This window comes from Homo sapiens, chromosome 6 (assembly GCF_000001405.40).
Source record: "Homo sapiens chromosome 6, GRCh38.p14 Primary Assembly".
Classification (NCBI taxonomy): domain Eukaryota; kingdom Metazoa; phylum Chordata; class Mammalia; order Primates; family Hominidae; genus Homo; species Homo sapiens.
Window position 1 is genome coordinate 36,695,951 of NC_000006.12, and position 20,517 is coordinate 36,716,467.

The window sequence follows — 20,517 nt, forward strand, 5'->3', positions numbered from 1 at the left end:
ATATTTTTATAAACAGAAATGTTTACTTTTATAAATATTTTTCATATGTTTAAATCCATTGATATTTATTTTTCCATGAATTGTTTATTCACATATGGTGCCAATTTCTCTAATGCATTATTGGTCTTTCATTGATCTGCAGGAGTTCTTTACAGAGGGAGGAAATTAACTTATTTTCTATGATACGTAAGTATTTTTTCAGAGTTTGCCTTTTGACTTATCAGTGGTGACCTTTTTTTGCCATTCAGTTTTATTTATTTTTAAAAAGTTTCCGTATGGTTGAATGGCTCAATATTTTCTTTTGTGGCTTCTAATGCTTTGTGATATATCTGGAAAGGCCTTGCCTAATCCAAGATTATTTAAAAATTATCCCATGATCTCTTTCTTCCTTTTTTTCTTCTTTCTCTTCTTCTTCTTCTTCTTCCTCCTCCTCCTCCTTCTTCTTCTCCTTCTTTATTATTATTATTTTTTAATGGAGACGGGGTCTCACTATGTTGTCCAGACTGGTCTTGAATTCCTGGGCTCAGGCGATCCTCCTGCCTCAGCCTCTCAGAGTGCTGGGATTACAGGCATGAGCCACCACACCCAGCCTATCCCATGACAGATCTATCTTTCCTTCCTTCCTTCCTCTTTTTTTCTTTCTTTCTTTCTTTCTTTCTTTCTTTCTTTCTTTCTTTCTTTCTTTCTTTCTTTCTTTCTCTTTCTTTCTTTCTTTCTTAGTTTCTTTCTTCTTTCTTTCTTTTTTCTTTCTTCTCTTTCTCTCTCTTTCTTTCTCTCTCTTCTTTCTCTTTCTCTTTCTCTCTCTTCCTTCTTCCTTCCTTCCTCCCTCCCTCCCTCCCTCCCTTCCTTCCCTCCTTCCTTCCTTTTCTTTCCTTCCTTCTTCTGCAACCATGGCAAATGAACTATGCCATGATTTCTTATGGCATTTGTTCAAACATACAGAAAAGCAGAAGAACATAATGAGCCTGCAGTACCCTCATTAACTCCAGCAGGGATCAGAACAGGTCCAGAGCCAGTCTTGTTTCATCTATGTCCTACCTATTCTCCACACTCTTCAATAATTTTGAAGTAAATCCCAAACAACATATAATTATGTGATTTTGATTTTTAAAATGCTTATGTCTTTTATCCATCTGGAATGCTTTTAGAGTTAGAGCTCTTTGTTTTTTGCAGATACCTAGCCCATTCTCCCAACATAGTTTATTGAATAAACCATCTCTTCTCCAATGATTTGAAGTGGTGCCTTTATGATACACTAAATCCCCACAAATATTTGAGTCTATTCCTGTCCCACAAATATTTGAGTCTATTTCATTATTCTGTTCCACTGATTCATCTGTCTATAGTCATGCTCCAATTCCACACTGTTCTGATGGTTGTAGCTCTACAGTGTATTTTGGTATCAGACTAGATTGTTCCCTAAAAGGTGGTTTAGATATAAAGCCTCCCCTGAGGCTCAAAGACACTGTCTGAGAGTGAGGGCCTGAAGTGAGGCAGGATGGGCAGTTCTCCCGGGGCATCCCATACACTTAGCTTCAGCCACGGCTGTGCCCATCAACCTGCTGCTGTCTGGGATAAGGCATTGCCTTGGCAACCAGAGACTGAGGCCCAGTCCTGGCTGTGCCACTAAGGGCTGGGTGATCTTGAGCAGTCCATCTCACTCTTTGGAGCCTCTGCTTAGGAGGGCCTCCCTGCCAGCTCCAGCATTCTCCACTTCAAGACACCAATCAGGGCAGGGATGCCTGGGGGTGCCAGGCAAAATTGTGAAAGGGCCGCCAGTGGTCGCTTCCACAGGAAGTCCTGTAGATGAGCACAGGAGATTGGCTCGCTGGGGAACGGAAAGGGAGATTAAGCAAGACAAGACTGTTAACAGTTCTAGAGCTCGTGGGCTCCGCAGGGCAGCAGTCACCCTACCACCAGGTCCCAGAGCCCAGGGCTGTGTGTTCCACTGGGAGCCTTTGAGAGGTAGGAGCCATCCCAAGGTTGCAATGCTTCTTTTTCTTTGGAAGGATGAGGATGGGGGAGGGAGCTGGGGTCCCTGTTTAACTTCTATGTCAAGGGTGCAAAAGGCAGAGCCCTCTTTTCTCCTGCATTTGGAGCTCTCTGCATGGTCTAAGGGAGGGGATGGGAAAGCACTTGGGCAAGAGGCTGGGGTACATCACTACCCGTAAATGGCTGTGTGACCTAGGGCAAGTCACCTGGTTTCTCAGAGCCTCAGTTTCTCTGTTAGTTAGGAGAGGAGGAGTGAGGATAAGTAGACTGGAACAAGACACTAGGTGGTCTCTCAGGCCCACTGACTTGGACCACTGGGGTTTAGCGACTGTGGCTATTATTTACAGCTATTGAAGCCAGCCAAGTGGAGAGCAGACCCAGTTCTGAGCGCCCTTTGGTGAGACAGTGATGGATACCCGGAGGCCCCAGGCAGGGCCCATGCCAGGTTGTAATCTGCTGCTGCCTGCTGCCCCACCCCACTCTTCTTCTCTGGCTTCCACTTCCTGGTGGGCAGCCTGTGGTGCCTGCTGCCTAACAGAATACCACGGTGGTAGTGGATTCCCGCAGGTGCTTGGGAGTGGGATTCATTTGCTCTCATGTTTGGCTTCAAGTTTTATGCGATTTCTTAGGTGAGGGATGTGGGGAGAGGTGGTCATGCTGAGGGGCTATATGTGTGTCCTAGCCATGAAGGGGTCCCCCACTCTTAAGGACGTGAGGCATGAGGATGCACTAAGGGGAAAGTGGTGGAGGAGAAGGGCGCTGGCAGGGTGGCCCTGCCAGCTGACTCGGAGGGATGTGTGTGCTGGGCGACGGCATTTGCACATGCAGAATGGAATGATGGAATGGCCGTGAGGGGTGCTGTGTCTGACTGAGAGGCTGATGGTGAGGGATTGGAGGGTGAGGATGATGGCCAAGGAGGGTGTGTGTGCGTGCACGTTTGCACGTGTACATTTGTGGATTGACTGAAGGATGTCCTTGCTGTCTCTGAGGGACCAGGCCTGGCCTAGAAGGGACACAGACTGTTTTTAGGTTGTGCTGTCAGGCCGTGGGGGTGCTGTCAGGGATCTGAATGTGAAGGCACGAGGGGTGAGTGCACCATCCCACCTGATGGTGACAAGTGACTGATTTTGAGGTGGCGATGGCTGGAGGGCACCTGCTGCCTTCCTGCCCCAGGCCACCTGTCAGGCAAGGAGCGGGTGGCTGAGTACCCCTCCTGGGAGAGAAGGATTGACTGGCAGAGAGGGCAGATGCTGAGGTGGGGCAGGCGAGGTGTCTGGAAGGTGCTATTTTCTTAAAAAATGCCAGGGGACTGCTGGAAATGGGCTGTGGAGGTGTAGCTTGGCTAGGAACTCCCAGAAAGGAAAGTCAGGAATGCCACATGTCCTAGGATGTGGCTGCAGGGAATTTCTTCCAGGATTCTAACATCCTACACCTGTGGGAGCCCGGCAGGCTGCGATGTGACACTCACATCACAGTGGACTTTGCTTCTGGAGGCTTCTGCACAGGGAATCTTATCTTGCTCCCTTGGCCGTGTTAGCTCCATTGCCGGAAGTACATGAGACATTGGGCGTCACCACAGGAGCCAAGCCTGTCAACGCCCACCCCGTTCCAAAGCCCTTGTCCCACTCAGGGCTACTCCACTGGGTGTTTGTCATCCCCAGAGGGGCCTTCTGCCCAGGGAAGAGCCACCTCTGTAGCCTTGGGGAAGTCCATCCCATGACCAACCAGAAGAGCAGAGTCTGGTGTAGTTCTACCACTGACATCATGGCTGGGGCAGGTCACTCTGCCTCTTGGAACCTCCCTCAGTTTCCTCATCTGTCAAATGGGATCAATTGTATCTGCATGGAACCTGGCTTTTATGTGCCTCAAATAGAATTCACCTTTATCAATATCATCACCACTGTTGTCATTGCTACCTTTACCTGGTAGTCACTGATACCAAGCGCACTCCTAAGTGGCTTTATGTGGATCATATATTCAGCAAATATTTGCAGAGTACCAACTGTGTGCCAAGCGCTGTTCTAGGCTCTTGGGATAGAACAGTGAACAGAATGGTCATCTCCCTACTCACGTGAGGCCTCTATTTCAGCATGAGGAGAAGGAAAATTTACAACAAAAACGAGCAAAAGGCTCTCTATTCTGGGAAGGTGACAAGTGCTAAGAGAAAGTGAAGCTGGAAAGGGAGGTGGGCCATGCTGGGGAATGGGAACTGATGTTTCAACTTTAATTATCTTGCTTAATCCTCGCAGCATCCCCGTGGGAGAGATATTAGTCCTAAGTTTCCAGTGAGGAAACTCAGGCACAGAGATGCTGATTGACTTCCCTAAGGTTGCACAGCCCATGGGCAGCAGAGCTGGGAGAAGCAGAGGTCTGTCTGACTTCACAGCAATGGGACTGGAAGTCACTTTCTCTTGTGAGCCTCCTTTTCTGCATCTCCAGGTCACGAGAGTGGGACTGACCCTCATAGTTCTGAGGCTCAGTGAGTCTTTCTTTTAATTTTACTTTTTTATTTTTTTGAGACAGAATCTCACTCTGTCGCCCAGGCTGGAGTGCAGTGGTGAATCATAGCTCACTGCAGTTTTGACCTCCTGGGCTCAAGTGATCCTCCCATCTCAGCCTCCCAAGTAGCTAGGACTACAGGCACCCCACCATGCCCAGCTAGTTTTATTTTATTTTGTAGAGACAGGGTCTCGCTATGTTGCCCAGGCTGGTCCTGAACTCCTGGGCTCAAGTGATCCTCTCGCCTCAGCCTCCCAAAGTACTGGGATTACAGGCCACCACGCCCAGCTTATTTTGTTGTTGTTGTTTTGTTTATTAATCCCCTTCTATGCTACAGGGAGTCTTTCTTTGAGTGTAACCTGCAAGGCTGGAACTGCCAGGCCAAACCCCATTAGCCACTGAAGAAGGGTCATAGGCCCATGGAGGGAGGGGGCTCCCCTCTTAGGGGGGATGGGGAATGGAGATAGATGGTGTCTTTCTAGGTGTGGAAGGCCTCTAGGCCCAAGAAGGGGTATCTATGTGGTCACTGTTTCCATGGAGCAACATGGGATGAATTAGGGGTGAGAGATACCGCGTGAAGGCCAGTTAGATTAGCATGGGGACTTCCCTATTCTAACCCGTAGAATCTTATTCCTCATTCTTGGCTTTTTTGCCTCCCTGCTTTTTATTAGAAAGACTTTTTTTCTGAGACAGTGTCTCACTCTGTTGCCTAGGCTAGAGTGCAGTGGTGCAATCTTGGCTCACTGCAACCTCTGCCTCTTGGGTTCAAGTGATTGTCCCACCTCAATCTCCCTAATAGCTAGAACTTCAAGCACACGCCACCATGCCTGGCTAATTTTTTGTTTTTGATAGAGATGGAGTTTCATCATGTTGCCCAGGCTGGTCTCAAACTCCTGGCTTCAAGTAATCCACCCCGTTGGCCTCCCAAAGTGTTAGGATTAGAGGTGTGAGCCACTGTGTCTGGCCGTGATATTTTCTGAGTCTCTTCAGTTGTCTGTTAGAACATTCCACATTCTAGGGGACCATGAATCAGCAGAGGAAGTGGGTTGAGAGCCCAGTACATATCCTAAGCAAGGTTGGGCACTATGAGGGCATCAGGGTTAAGTATAATCTCTCCTGCCCTGGAGCTCACTGCTAAGCTATGTCACCTCCCCCAGGAAGCCCTCTCTGACACCCTGATCAGTGAGTTGCTCCTTTTTCAGTGCTCTCCCAGCACCTGACACACAGGTATGCTGCCCCTTCTGTGCTGCACTGTAATTATGTTTGTGTCTCCTGCATGAGGCTGTGAGGACCCCTAGGGGAGAACAGGAGTTAGTCACACCTCTACCTGCAGGGCCAGGGACTCTGCTGGGGTGTACAAGGTGTGTCCTGCACAAGGATGCCCAGCCAAGGGGGTGCATGGGGACTGGAATCCAGCCCACATTCCACTTGTCAAACCATGAGCCCTGGCACTGGGCTGTGTCTGCCAGCAGGAAGTACCTTTTCCTAATTCACTTAAAGGAAACATATGGATTGCAGCGGGCCTGCTTAGCACTGTACCGGCATTCAGTTGGCGCTCGGTAAATGGTTGTTGCTTATGTGCATGATAGAGGGTGGGAAGGGTTGGGGCAGATGAAAGTCTTCAGAAGAGGTGTGCTGGTGACTATTCTTTGGTGGGGGCAGGAGACCTGATTCATGGCATTTGCTGATTCCCATGGTGCCAATACTCCCACAGTGGCTGATGCCAAGCTGCTGGGATAGGAAGGGGTGTGCACAGTCAGCCCTCACAAGCCCCTAATAGTGGACTCCAGCTCACCACTGCGGTTTTACATTTATGATCTTAAAACTTCATCTGAAACAGACTTCGAAGGGGGAGAGAGAGAGAGAGAGAGAGAGAGAGAGAGAGAGAGAGAGAGAGAATGTACTTCTGTTTGAAGTTTGGGGCCTCCTAAGGATGAGAGATTGCTTCATCCAGTTCTGTGCAACCTGTGCCGTTCCCCTTGGGAAGCTTGCCCAAGGGGAGGCCGTGGAATGACCCCCTGGAATGAGCCCATGAGGCCTAAAGCAGAGCCCTCTAACCACTCCACCCAGCCTGTCTGTGGCCTTCGGCCTCAACAGAGAATGCCCAGGGGAGATATCTATTCCATCTCCTGGGCATGAGCCTTACTATTCTGCCTCGATTCCTTCACACACACTGTTTACTGCTTCCAAATCCTACATGCCTCCTGCAGAACCTGCACAAGCCCCACCACTTGCAGGAAGCTGCCCTGTCTGTCTGGACATCAAGTCCTTCTCATCCCATAGCTTTATGGGCCCCAGACTTGTTCCCGCAAAGCAGGCTCAGACTTTATCCCTTTCAAACCACAGCCTCTCTTTTCCTCACCCCAGGGGCCTCACCTGGATGAATCCCCAACCATCAAAATCCTTATCAATTGACTGAACTAAGACATTCAGTGACAGGTGAATGAACAATGAATTTGACACCCCTTACTTGAGCACTTGACATGTGCTAAGGGGGCGGGGAGCAGTATGGACCTAGATAAACAGTGATATCCACAGCTGGGGCAGCATGGGGCCTGCCTTAGTCTGTTTTGTACTACCGCAGATACCATAGAATGGGAAATTTACATAGAGCAGAAATTTATTTCCTCATCCTTCTGGAGGCTAGAAAGTTCAAGATTAAGGAGGTAGAATCTGGCGTGGGCCTTCTTGTGGTGTCTTCCCATGGTGGAAGGCAGAAGGACGACAGGGAGCACGAGGGTCTGAGTCCATCTTTTAACAAGGAACTCATTTTTACAATAATGGCATTCATCCATTCATGAGGACGGTGCCCCCATGACCCAAACAATTCCCATCAGGCCCCATCGCCCAACACTGCTTCACTGGGGATCAAGTTTCCAACACATGAACTTTGGGGAACACATTCAAACCATAGCAGGGTTGCAGACAAGGGGGCACTGAGCCCAGCTTGAATGCAGGGGTGACTGCAGGGAAGGCTTCTTGGAGGAGGCAGCCTGTAAGGTGAGGAAGCAAAAGGTATTAACTATGTAAGGGAGTGAGAGAGTTGAGGAGTTTGGGGCAAAGGGAGCAGGGTGGGAGGGAATCAGGAATTCCAGGAACCATGAGTGGTTCAGTGGTGTTGCCATGGACCCCAAGGGCACAGGGGTGGGGTGGATGAAGCTGAGGCCATGTCACGTGGGGCCCTAAGAGCCGCATAGGGGTGCTACTGATTCCATGCTGCGTGTGTCGAAGGACTAGAGACATGGTGCTGGAGAGAAAAGGCTGGAGGAGAGGTGAGGCTGACAGGGGAGGAGGTGTCGGTGGAGGGATCCCTGACGCAGCTGAGATGAGTTAATGAGCAAGAAGAGTCATCAGAGAGATGGCTCAGAAGCTGCTTATGGCCCTTCAGACAGCTAGATCCTGGAAAACCCTGTGTAACCACCCTCCAGGTCAAAACACGAGATAGATTCTGCGTGCGGTGAATAGGATATATTCTCTAATGGTCGGAGAAGACTTTGATAGTTGAGTAGTAGCCTGAAGAGATGAGGGCAGGTGGGTAGCTTGGAGAAGGGCATTCCAGGTAGAGGGAACTTAGAAAGGGCAAAGGCGTTGAGCAGAATGGACGAGAGGCCATGAGGCGGCTGGGCGACGAGGTCAGAGGACCCGGCGGGACACCATCAGGCCGGGCTTTGGCAGCCACAGTGGATTTTCTTCCAAGGGTGATGGGAGCCAGGGGAGGGTTTTGAGCCATGAGAGGGCGTGACTGTCCAGCAGCCCGGTGCCCCTCACTCCTCTGTCCCCAGGGCCAACGCACCATGGAGACTGGACAGAGAACATCTCGAAAAGTCCGGAAGCTGGGCTCCAACCGGCGGCGGCAGACAAGAGAGCCAGCTGATGGTGAAGGCGCTGCAGTGGCCCCAGAGCCAGAGTCTTGGTCCTCTCAGGCAGCGGCAGAACTGCAGGCCTTCTTCCAGGACTGTGGTGCCAAGGAGAGGGGCTTTGTCACCCGCGAGGACCTGGCGGTGAGCCCAAGACCCCCATTTGAATGCTGAATCCCTTTTCCGCAGCTCCTGACACCCCCTCTCCCCCATCACAGGAAGGCAGGGCTTGCTACCCCTGCCCCTTTCTCTCATTTAGAGCTCTCAGAAAACGCTAGGGATGTGTTTATACTAATGTGAAAATGACAGGTAAGGCTTTATGTGTTGCCCTTTTCCAGAAACATTTGTCATTTAACCAGCGAAAGTACTTTAAGCCAAAGAAGTAATTTGCAAATGGTATAATTTTAGACTCATTAAGCAAGGACATTTATCTTGGGAAGCAGTCAGAGCCCTGGAAGTCAAACCATGTCAATGACTGTAAACTTCAATGAAATATAAGATCAGCCATGGTTGTGTGTCCCCATAAAGAGTCTTAGGGTGGCCAGGTGTTGTGGTTCATGCCTGTAATCCCAGCACTTTGGGAGGCCGAGGCGGGCGGATCACTTGAGGTCAGGAGTTCGAGACCAGCCTGGCCAACATGGTGAAACCCCGTCTCTACTAAAAATACAAAAATTAGCCAGGCATGGTGGTAGGTGCCTGTAATCCCAGCTACTTGGGAGGCTGAAGCATGAGAATTGCTTGAGCCTGAGGAAGTGGAGGTTGCAGTGAGCCAAGATCACACCACTACACTCCAGCCTGGGTGACTCCATCTCAAAAAAAAAAAAAAAAAGAAGAATGAGGGAACCAGTAAGATGTTATGACTGGTTCAAAGAGCGTTTGAGAAGCCAGCAATTTGACAGAAAACTATTAGGATAAAATTACGGAGTTCAATTCTTAAAATGGCTAATATCTAACAGGCCATCAATCTTTCAGGCTATCTGTTCTACTAGTAACTTCAGTAATTTTGGGGATTTTCATGAAAGGTAAACAATGTGTTGTGCTAGCATTCTTTTTGCCTCATATCCAAGTTCCAAGTTTCAGATTTCCTCCCTCCCTCCCTCCCTCCCTCCCTTCCTTCCTTCCTTCTCAGCTCGATCTCAGAGGCACGATCTCAGCTCACTGCAAACCTCTGCCTCCCAGGTTCAAGCGATTCTCCTGCTTCAGCCTCCCAAGTAGCTGGGATTACCTGCACCCACTACCACGCCTGGCTAGTTTTTGTATGTTTAGTAGAGACGGGGTTTCACCATGTTGGTCAGGCTGGTCTCGAGCTCCTGACTTCAGGTGATCCACCTGCCTCAGCCTCCCAAAGTGCTGGGATTACAGGCATGAGCCACCGCGCCCGGCCAGATAATTTTTCTGTGATCATAGATAATCTCCAAAATTTTCTTGATGTATAAAAGGCTGCTGTCATTACATTGGCTTATTTCCATAGGAGCAACAAGGATGTAATTAAATGTGAGTCTCTGAATTTGCCCTACAAACAGAGACAGTATTGAGACATTTTAGCTTCTGTCTGGACGCTTTCATACAGAATCTTATGTATGAAATTTGGATTTATGTTGGATTTTTTTTTTTTTTAAGAGATAGGATCTCACTCTGTTACCCAGGATGGAGTGCAGTGGTGCAATCATAGCTCACTGCAACCTCAAGCTCCTGGGCTGAAGCGATTCTCTCACCTCAGGCTCCCAAGTAGCTAGGACTAAAGGCACAGGCCACTACGCCTGGCTGATTCTTAAATTTTTTATAAAGATGAGGTCTTGCTATGTTGCCCAAGCTGTTGTCTAACTTCTGGCCTCAAGCAATCCCCCCACCTCAGGTTTCACACCTGCTGAGATTACAGGTGTGAGCTGCCATGCCCAGGCTGGTTGGACTTTTAAAAATCTGTAGTTTGTTCTATTGAGTGACCAACTGCTCCAGTTTTCCAAGGACTAATGGGGTACCTGGGATGTGGGACTTCGAGTGCTAAAATTGGAAAGTCCTGGGCAAACTAGGATGAGTTGGTTACCCAACTTCTGTCCTAAGGCTAGAAAAGGAATCCCAAGATATTCTCTTCACCAGATGTCACCTGCATCACCTGTAAATTTAAATGGCTTCCTGTCTTCTTGAGGTCCCTGATTTTTCTAAGGTCCCTCTTCTGCCAGGAAGCAATCCCTGTCGTTCCAGGCCAGCTTCCTGGTAGGGTTTTGTAGGAAGTAGCTCCATGAGCATTCCTTATAGTAGGCTTGTCACACCTGATTAAATGAGGACATCCCATAAAAAGACACTCCAGGTAAGGCCTTGATTGCACAATTGATTTATCCAATTATATCTTGATAAAAAAGGAGGACAGATTCTGTTGAACCTGTGCAAATAATTATATTGCCATAGAAAGTAAGGAGAGTCTGTAAAAGTAATTTTTTTTTTTTTTGAGACAGGGTCTTGCTCTTTCACCTAGGCTGGAGTGCAGTGGTGCGATCTTGGCTCATTGCAACCTCCGCCTCCTGGGTTCAAGTGATCCTCTCGCCTCAGCCTCTTGAGTAGCTGGGACTACAGGCCTGCGCCACCATGCCCAGCTGATGTTTTGTATTTTTTATAGAGGCAGGGTTGCGGGTTTCTCCATGTTGCCCGGGCTTAAAATTATTGGTTTCTGAATTGTGAGGGGGTCAGTGAGATTCAGATACCACTTGAAATGTTGAATATCAGTTTACAAAAGTATAATCTGGCAGGGCATGGTGGCTCACGCCTGTAATCTCAGCATTTTGGGAGGCTGAGGTGGGCAGATCACCTGAGATTAGGAGTTCCTGACTAGCCTGACCAACATGGTGAAACCCCGTCTCTACTAAAAATACAAAAATTAGCCAGGCGTGGTGGCTATTTTCTGTATTCCTAGCTACTTGGGAGGCTGTAATGTGTGTCTGTAATCCTAGCTACTTGGGAGGCTGAGGCAGGAAAATCACTTCAACGTGGGAGGCGGAGGCTGCAGTAAGCCGAGATCAAGCCACTGCACTCCAGCCTGGGTGACAGCAGAGTGAGGCTCTGTCTCAAAAAAAAAAAAAAGTATAATCTACTAAACTGAGGGTTAGAGACAGCTCAAGAAGACCAGGAAAGAGCTTCCTTACAGATCTATTAAAGTAGAACAATAAAAAATAATATCAACTATATTGCCCACAAAGAGCCATAACTAGATTTCCTTTGGCTGTTCAATCAACACCATGTAATCAATTATTGTTCTGCCGGATCTTGGGTAAGCTGTCTGCTTTTGGACTCAAAAGAGTTGTAGGAATCCTCAGTCTACTAGCTCAGTCAAAAGGACATCCAGTGTCAGCTTGGAAGCCTACACCCAAGTGAAGCATAAATAGTTCATCGAACCTGGTACAGTCCTTTTTCTCTAGACTTTGAGTGTGTTTTTCTTTGTTGAAGATGCAGTCTGTGGCCTGCAGCTTATAGCAGAGGCTTCAGGCAGGCATTGGAAAGGAGAAACATGTCCAGTAATGACACTGAAAGGCTGTGGTTATGTATTACACTACCTAATAATATCAGAACGGAGGACAGTGGAATTCTCTCCTGGGGTACAATGCACAACTATTTCATAATGGTTTGATCAGTTTTTCCCCTGAAGATAAAAACATACTGCCTGTAATACCAGGACTTTGGGAGGCTGAGGCAGGAGGATCACTTGAGCCCAGAAATTCAAGACCAGTCTGGACAATATGGAGAGATTCCATCCTATAAAAAGGTTTAAAAAATTAGCCAGGTGTGGTGGTGTGCACCTGCAGTCCCAGCTACTTGGGAGGCTAAGGTGGGAAGATTGCTTGAGCCTGGGAGGTCAAGGCTGCAGTGAGCCATGATCACGCCACTGCACACCAGCCTGGGAGGCAGAGTGAGAACCTGTCTCAAGAAAGAAAAAAAAAAAAGAACATATTATAAATAGCAAAATCATTGAAAAATCTCCAGGGCCTTCACATAAAGCATGCAATTTCTGAAATATTGATATTAATAGCATTTTACCTATGAAAATTTAGCCTAGGAAAGCCTGAACATCTCTTCTGATTTGATTGCTCTTCCCATGATGATCTTGTAATAGTGTTGAAGTATTTAAAACATATAGAGAAAGATATCTTAAAATTTTTATTGTATTTTTTTCTAAATTTAGGATCTGATCTTGGGAAGGCAAAATCAAAAGAACGGTTAGAGAAGATTTAGGCACTAGATTAAGACGTCATGGGAGACCAAGAAATATTACTTTGTTATCTATTTAATCGAAGTAATAATAAAATAAAATATTTTGAAATAAACATAGAAGAAGGTAATATGATTACAAGAGTAGATAGCTTTTTTATAAGGGAGATACCTTTGCTTTTTGTTTTTTAAAATAAGATATAATAAGTTCAAAACAAAGCAGAGGAAATGATTCTGGGGAGATAGATAGGGAATCTCTGTTATCTGGGAGGCTTACACAGAAGCTAAACAGTAGCCTCTTTTTAACCCTTGCTAAGAGCTCTAAGACCAATTTATTATTTTAGTAGAGATAAAGATAAATTCTAGTTTTGCTTTAATAGAATATGTGGCCATAAAATTTTCATGAGTTTTTATTATTTCTTTTTACTTATTTTTATTTATTTATTTTTATTTTTATTATTATCATTTGAGACAGTTTCACTCTTGTTGCCCAGGCTGGAGTGCAATGGCGTGATCTTGGCTCACTGCAACCTCTGCCTCCTGGGTTCAAGCGATTCCCCTGCCTCAGCCTCCTGAGTAGCTGGGATTACAGGCGCCTGCCACCACCTCTGGCTATTTTTTTTTATTTTTATTTTTAGTAGAGACGGGTTTCACTATGTTGACCAGGCTGGTCTTGAACTCCTAACCTCAGGTGATCCACCCGCCTCGGCCTCCCAAAGTGCTGGGATTACAGGCATGAGCCACTGTGCCAAGCCTATTTATCATCAATTTTTAAGCCCATTAAAACTGGGCCAAATTTGGCAAAATGTTAATACATTTCATAGCTTATTTTCAGACTCAGGCATTATAAATCAAGGCAAATAAAATTCTCTTTCAGTAAACTTTCTACGACATTCTATATCCATTCAAGTTTTGCCTTTTTATCCTTTTTCATGTTGTAGAATAACCAGACAATTTCACACAACAGTGCATCCCATTTTCCTTGCAGACAAAGTTTTGTTTGTCTGTCGCTATAGCTCCTAGTAAAGCCTCAAGCATCTGTAGTTAATTGAACTGTTGTTGTTGTTGCCGTTGTTTTGAGACAGGGTCTTGCTCTGTTGTCCGGGCTGTAGTGCAGTGGCGCAATCTCAGCTCACTGCAACCTCCGCCTTCTGGGTTCAAGCTATTCTCATGCCTCAGCCACCCAATTAGCTGGAATTACAGACGCCCGCCACCATGCCAGGAGGATTTTTTCTGTTTTTAGTAGAGACAGGGTTTCACCATGTTGGCCAAGCTGGTCTCGAACTCCTGACCTCAAGTGATCCACCTGCCTAGGCCTCCCAAAGTGCTGGGATTACAGGTGTGAGCCACCATGCCCAGCCTGTATTAATTGCACTTTTAACCAGTGTAATTAACCTCTTTCACAGAAAGAACTAAGGGTAAATAATTGAGAACTGTCTTATACAAGCATTTTAGCAGACAAGCAAAGCTCACAAATACACATAAGCCAACTTTCTACAGCCTTGCATATCCCTAACACAACTTTTAAAAAAAGTGGTCAAATATGCAATGCATAACAGAAAATTTATCATTTTAACTATTTTTAAATGTACCATTCAGTGGCATTAAGTACATTCACGATGTTGTACCACCATTTCCCCAGCCATCTCCAAAGCTTCTTTCATCTTGCCAAACTGAAATTCTGCACCCATCGAACAGTAACTCCCATACTTCCCTCTCCCCAACCCCTGGCTATCCCTAGTCTACTTTCTGTCTCTATAACTTTGATTACTCTAGATACCTCATAGAAATGGAATCATACAGTATTTGTCTTTTAGTTACTGGTGTATTTCACATAGCAGAATGTCCTCAAGGTTTATCTGTATCGTAGCATGTGTCCAAATGTTCTTTTTAAAGACCAAATGATATTCCGTTGTACATATACGTCACATTTTGTCTACCCTCTTATCTGTCAGTGAACACTTGGGTTGATTCTTTTGGTGATTGTAAATAATGCTGCTATGAATATGGGCATACAAATATCTGGGTCTTTGCCGCTTTCTTTTGTACAACTTTTTTTTTTTTTTAATTGAGATGGAGTCTCACTCTGTCGTCCAGGCTGGAGTGCAGTGGCATGATCTTGGCTCACTGCAACCTCCGCCTCCTGGGAGTCTCACTCTGTCATCCAGGCTGGAGTGCAGTGGCATGATCTTGGCTCACCGCAACCTCCGCCTCCTGGGATCAAGTGATTCTCCTGCCTCAGCCTCCTGAGTAGAGTAGCTGGGATTACAGGCATGCACCATCACGTGTGGCTAAGTTTTGTGTTTTTAGTAGAGACAGGGTTTCACCATGTTGGCTAGGCTGGTCTTGAACTCCTGACCTCAGGTGATCCACTTGCCTTGGTCTCCCAAAGTGCTAGGATTACAGGCGTGAGTCACCTCGCCCAGACTGCACAACTTTTTAAAGCAGAAAAAAATGAATTCATTTAACATTACCTAAAGATATAGCTACTTTCCAGCATGTGAAAATAAGAAGTAAAAAATATATCAACTTAAAAATATGCCTAGCAATCAATGTTTCAGTATTAAATTTGTTTTAGAAATTATCCAGATAGCCAAAAATTATTTATTAATTGATGTACTTCAATATTAATTCAAAATTTTAAAGTTACCTAAGAATCTTGGAAACTGTGTTTAAGGTGACACACTGGAAGTTATAATTACTGTTGATACAAAATTTATTTGTTAGAGTAATTAATCAATTTAGTGGGGCACAAATTTACATGTTTATAATCTCAAACATATGTAAAGATAAAGTTGACTTATTTGATCCGAAAGTCGAAATGAGAAGTATAGGAAATCTAGATTAACTCGTTTCTTCACAGAAAACAAATATAGATCTTATGAAAAACAGAATGTATACTTGAATTATACTTAACATAAAGCACAGAAAAGACAGATAGCTATTATATGTGTTTTATCAAAACAATTATTAAACCAGTCTAATTTGTTCAAAGAATCATGTTAATTATATGGACCTGGCTCCTGAAAAATTTTCTGAGCTAGCGATTTCTAAGAAGAATTGTTTTAAGTCTAAGTCATTTAAAGCATTCAAATTTCAGTTATTTTCTGTTATTTTTAGGAGAATTAGAGTTATATAATCACTTATTTGTCTCTATAAACCAATCAACACAGAACTCCTTTAAGAGACATAGTACGCTAAGTTATTAATACCTTCCAGATGTACAAAAGTATTTCACACTGACATAAGAGTTAAAGACCTTTCGGGCGTGGTGGTACATTCCTGTAATCCCAGCTACTCGGGAGGCTGAGGCAGGAGAATCACTTGAACCCAGGAAGTGGAGGTTGCAGTGAGCCAAGATTGCGCCACTGCATTCCAGCTTGAGTGACAGAGTAAGACTCCATCTCAAAAAAAAAAAAAAGAGTTAAAGGCCTGTCTATTACAGACATATAGATACACAGACACACAGAGAATGTCTTGCTTCATTTCTACAGTTCCAGCCACAGATCAAAAGTAAACACAGCAGGCTGGGCGTGGTGGCTCATGCCTGTAATCCCAGTACTTTGGGAGGCTGAGGCAGGTGGATCACCTGAGGTCAGGGGTTCGAGACCAGCTTGGCCAACATGGTGAAACCCCATCTCTACTAAAAATACAAAAACTAGCCAGGTGTGGTGGCAGGCACAGGTAATCCCAGCTACTCAAGAGGCTGAGGCAGGAGAATTAGTTGAACTCGGGAGGTGGAGGTTGCAGTGAGCCAAGATTGTGCCACTGCATTCCAGCCTGAATGACAGTAAACACAACAACATGAAACATGAAAACTCACCAATCCAGATCTCAAAGAGCTGTTCTCCTTCCCAGTCCCAGTGGATATGAAATTATTTTTCTTTGAGATACAGTCTCATTCTGTTGCCCAGGCTAGAGTGCAGTGGTGCGATCTCGGCTCACTGCAACCTCCTTCTCCCGGTTTCAAGTGATTCCCCTGCTTCAGCCTCCTGAGTAGCTGGGATTACAGGCGCCCACCACAATGCCCGGCTAGTTTTTGTATTTTTAGTAGAGACGGAGTTTCACCATGTTGGCCAGGCTGGTCTCGAACTCCTGACCTCAAGTGATCTGCCCGCCTCGGCCTCTCAAAGTGCTGGGATTACAGGTGTGAGCCACTGCACCCGGCCTGGAATTCTTAACTAATTTGAGATCACAAATAGAAAAACAAACAACAACAGCAACAACAAAACGATTAGCAAACCAGTTTTTCTGTTATTTTTCAACCAATAGGCATTAAGTCTCCATGATGCATCCCCCAGAGATCACCAAATAGAACATAAAGACCATCACTGGTTTAGACCAGACCATCACTGCTGCCACCAATGGGGAATAACTTATCAGTCATGTGCGGCCTCAGATAAAAACACGAAATTCACAGAAAGGAAAAAAAGTAACTAGAGAAACAGAGAATCAGCAAACTCAAAGTTCTATTATGCTTGGGGATTCCCTCTCTGAGAGCCAAAGTGTGTGGGCTTAAAGAGCCCATGACGTGCACTTGTGCAGCCACGCAGGCTGCTTGATTCTGCCAGAGGAGCCCACTGGGCCATCTCCTAGACCTTAGTCCAAAACTTGTTATAATTTTCAAAAAGGTAAAATCATGACCTGTAGGCCATGATATATAAAATGAACTCTTATAGGAGATTTAACTCATTGACTTTTTTATTTTTATTTTTTTGAAACGGAGTTTCACTCTTGTCACCCAGGCTGGAGTGCAATGGCACCATCTTGGCTCACTGCAACTTCTGCCTCCTGGGTTCAAGTGATTCTCCTGCCTCAGTCTCCCAAGTAGCTGGGACTACAGTCGCTTGCCACCATGCCTGGCTAATTTTTGTATTTTTAGTAGAGACGGGGTTTCACTATGTTGTCCAGGCTGGTCTTGAACTCCTGGCCTCAGGTGATCCACCCACCTCGACCTCCCAAACTATTGGGATTACAGGCTTGAGCCACCGCGCCTGGCCTCAGGTAATTTTTGGACACTGATCACCACATTCTGGGGAGGATTGGCTGCTGTCCTTTATCAAGTTCCTAAAGACATGGGACTTAGGACACGTACGTTTTGATTTTGGATGGAGAGAGTGAAAAGAGCTGGAGCCAGTTCAGGGCCCTGCTGGGAGGGCTGCCTTGGGTGGGGTTGGGAATGTCAAGCTTAGGCCCTGGGTCAGGTTACTGGAGGGACTCTGACATTGGGGTGAGGTGAGGTAGGGGTGGCTGAAGACAAACATCTCTCCGTTTTGGAGGGTGAGAGCCTTCCCCGGTGGGAACACCTGCCCAACTTGCCCATTCCTTCCAGGTGGCCAAGTTCAGCTTCCTGGGCAGCAAGGAAGAGTCAGAGATGATCTTCGACTGGGTGGATGTGGAGCGGAAGGGACACCTGTCCCTTGAAGAATTCAGCTCTGGACTCAGTATGTCTGTCTTTGGAGGGCCTCTGGGCACCCAGGTGTTCCGTGCAGTGTGCCCTGCATGGGGCTAGGCTGGGTCGTTAGAAAGGCAACCCTTTTCCCAGGGACTTTCACCCCCCATCCCCGGCTGCCACAGTGGTCCGGGGCCCTCCCCTGTGCATCCCCTCTGCCCCTCCAGGGAGGCCTCCGGGCTTGCTTTCTGACTCCTATGTCTTCTCCCCAGTAAAAGGCTTCTCCTGAGCCAGAGGTCTTGACACCACAGATTTGTTTCCGCCTGAGGAGAGTAACATTGTGGCTTTGGTTAAGGGAATTCCATGGGCCAGGGAGCAGCAGAGGGTGATATCTAGGGGTGGGGGCTTTCCAGGTGCTGAGCCCCCACTGGGCAGGGCTGCCCCAGCACCTGCCTCTCTAGATGGGCTGACAAGACTTAGGGAGCCCATGGCCAGCAGGGCACAATCCTCCCGCTAATCCTCTCCCTGGGAAGACCTTCCAGCCCAGGCAATGGAAGGTGTGGTGTCCTCACAGAGCCCCTGCAAGACACAGATCAGCCTTCAGTGTCCACAAAGCCCCCCAGAGTTCTCAGGTCAGCTGAGTCTCCAAAAGCCTGGAGACCAGCAGAGAAGGGGGCCAGGAATCTGCATTTGCGCTTGGGCCCACTCCAGGAGGAGGCTGCTCCAGTTCTGGCAATGGAGAAGCTGAGAGTGGGGAGGAGAACTCAGGGGCTGGGCAGGAGGAACTGCCGGTGGGGCGCAGAGGGAGCATTGCTGTCCACGCAGCCTTGGGGCCGTCTTCATTCCTGAATCGAATCATGCCCGCCACGCCAGGAACTTCCCAGTGCCTGTGGGACAAACTGGAAGCCCCTTCCTGGGGCCTGCAAGGCCTGCACCATCCAGACGCTGCCAACCTCTCTGGCTCACTCAGTGCCATTCACCTCGTCCATCTTGCTAGCCTGGCTCCTGCCTCAGGGCCCCTGCAGTGCTGTTCTCTTTGCCGGGGACACACTTCTCTGGAGTCCACATGGTTTGCTCCTTCTTGTAATTCACATCTCAGTTCCAATGTCACCTCCTTAGGACACTGCTAGCCACCTCATCTAAGTCGATCCTCCCAGTCTCTCAGTGGAAATTACCCTGCATATTCCTTTGGCTCACTTAGCAAGTTGGCTTAAAATATATATATATATATTCTTTTCAACTCGCACTAGAATGTCATCTCCATGTTAGGGATTTTGGTTAATTTTGTCATGTAGATGCTCAATACATATCCATTGATTGAGTGCATGAAGAATTTGTTCACCACCTTGGAGGTGTGGTGTGATTTCCAGCAAGTCTTTTGGCGTCTCTGGGCCTCAGGTACTCATCTGTAAAATGGGTACCTTAAATAGACTCCTAAGGTTGATATGAGAAATATGTGAATGTAGCCTTGTGTAAATGTGACTGGCACAGGTAGAATTACTTCCCTGAGGGCTGGACCAGGGCTGGGTGGGAGGCCAGGCGTCTGGGCCCAACACCACTGTGCTCCCCTCTGTCCACTTCTGTCCCACAGAAAACATCTTTGGCTCCAGCCAGAGCCCCCACAGGCTCCGCAGAAGGAAGCCACTGCCCTCTAAGCGGGTATCTGCTACCACCAGCTTCCCAGCTCTGGAGGAGGCGGATGCTGAGGAGAAGGAGGCGTTCCTTGCCTTCATGGAGCAGCTGGGGACTGGACACTTACTTCCCAAGTAAGGCCAGGGCGGCATGTGCATGGGGAGAGGCTCTGCCAGCCATTGACGGCAGGGGCTTTCCTGGACACAGCAGGGGTCAAGGGGGCAGGCGCCAGGTAGAGCCAAGTGCAAATTCTGGCTTGGCCATTGGCTAGCTGTGTGACCACAGGGATGGCTTGACTTCTGACCTCTGTTTCCTGGGCTGCAGAATGAGCCTAAAAGTTGTTGTGGGGTTAAAACCACGTGCAGAGGATGCCTGCTCATGGGGAGTCCTTCCCACCCCTGCACCTCCCGGCCCTGTCCTGCCCTGTAGGGTCACTCTCCAGGAGGACTAGCGATTGGGCTCAGCTTCCCAAGGCACATGAATTCTTAAAACCATGGGGGTCCCTGCAGGTGCCTTTCTTCACTCAGTGAAGGTTCCTGGAGTTGGGGGCGATTTCAGGCATTTTGTGCCCTGGGTTGAACGGGTTTGGAGACAGAAGTGCATTTCCTCCCATCCATCTCAGGCTCTAGGTGTCAGGGGTTTGCCTTTGCTTAGAGAAAGGGAGCCCTGGCCGGGCACGGTGGCTCATGCCTGTAATCCCAGCACTTTGGGAGGCTGAGGCGGGTGGATCACCTGAGGTCGGGGGTTCCAGACCAGCCTGGCCAACATGATGAAACCCCATCTCTACTAAAAATACAAAAATTAGCCGGGCGTGGTGGCACATGCCTGTAATCCCAGCTACTCAGGAGGCTGAGGCAGGAGAATTGCTTGAACCTGGGAGGCGGATGTTGCAGTGAGCTGAGATCGCGCCACTGCACTCCAGCCTGGGTGACAGAGCAAGACTCTGTC

At 47.4% G+C, this 20,517-nt stretch overlaps 1 protein-coding gene across 8 annotated transcripts in view; it reads left to right on the top strand.

Moving 5' to 3' along the window:
* Positions 1–1,875: 1,875 nt before the first annotated feature.
* Positions 1,876–20,517, top strand: part of RAB44 (RAB44, member RAS oncogene family) — a 35,359-nt gene continuing 16,717 nt past the window's right edge. For 6 of the 8 annotated variants that reach the window (NM_001257357.2, XM_024446439.2, XM_024446437.2 and 3 more), the window contains exons 1-4: positions 1,876–1,965; positions 8,274–8,492; positions 17,878–17,989; positions 19,529–19,703. In NM_001257357.2, the coding sequence (NP_001244286.1) occupies positions 8,286–8,492; positions 17,878–17,989; positions 19,529–19,703 (494 nt within the window). In that variant the 5' untranslated portion in view covers positions 1,876–1,965; positions 8,274–8,285. The other 2 variants (XM_024446435.2, XM_024446436.2) reach the window with 2 other exon arrangements.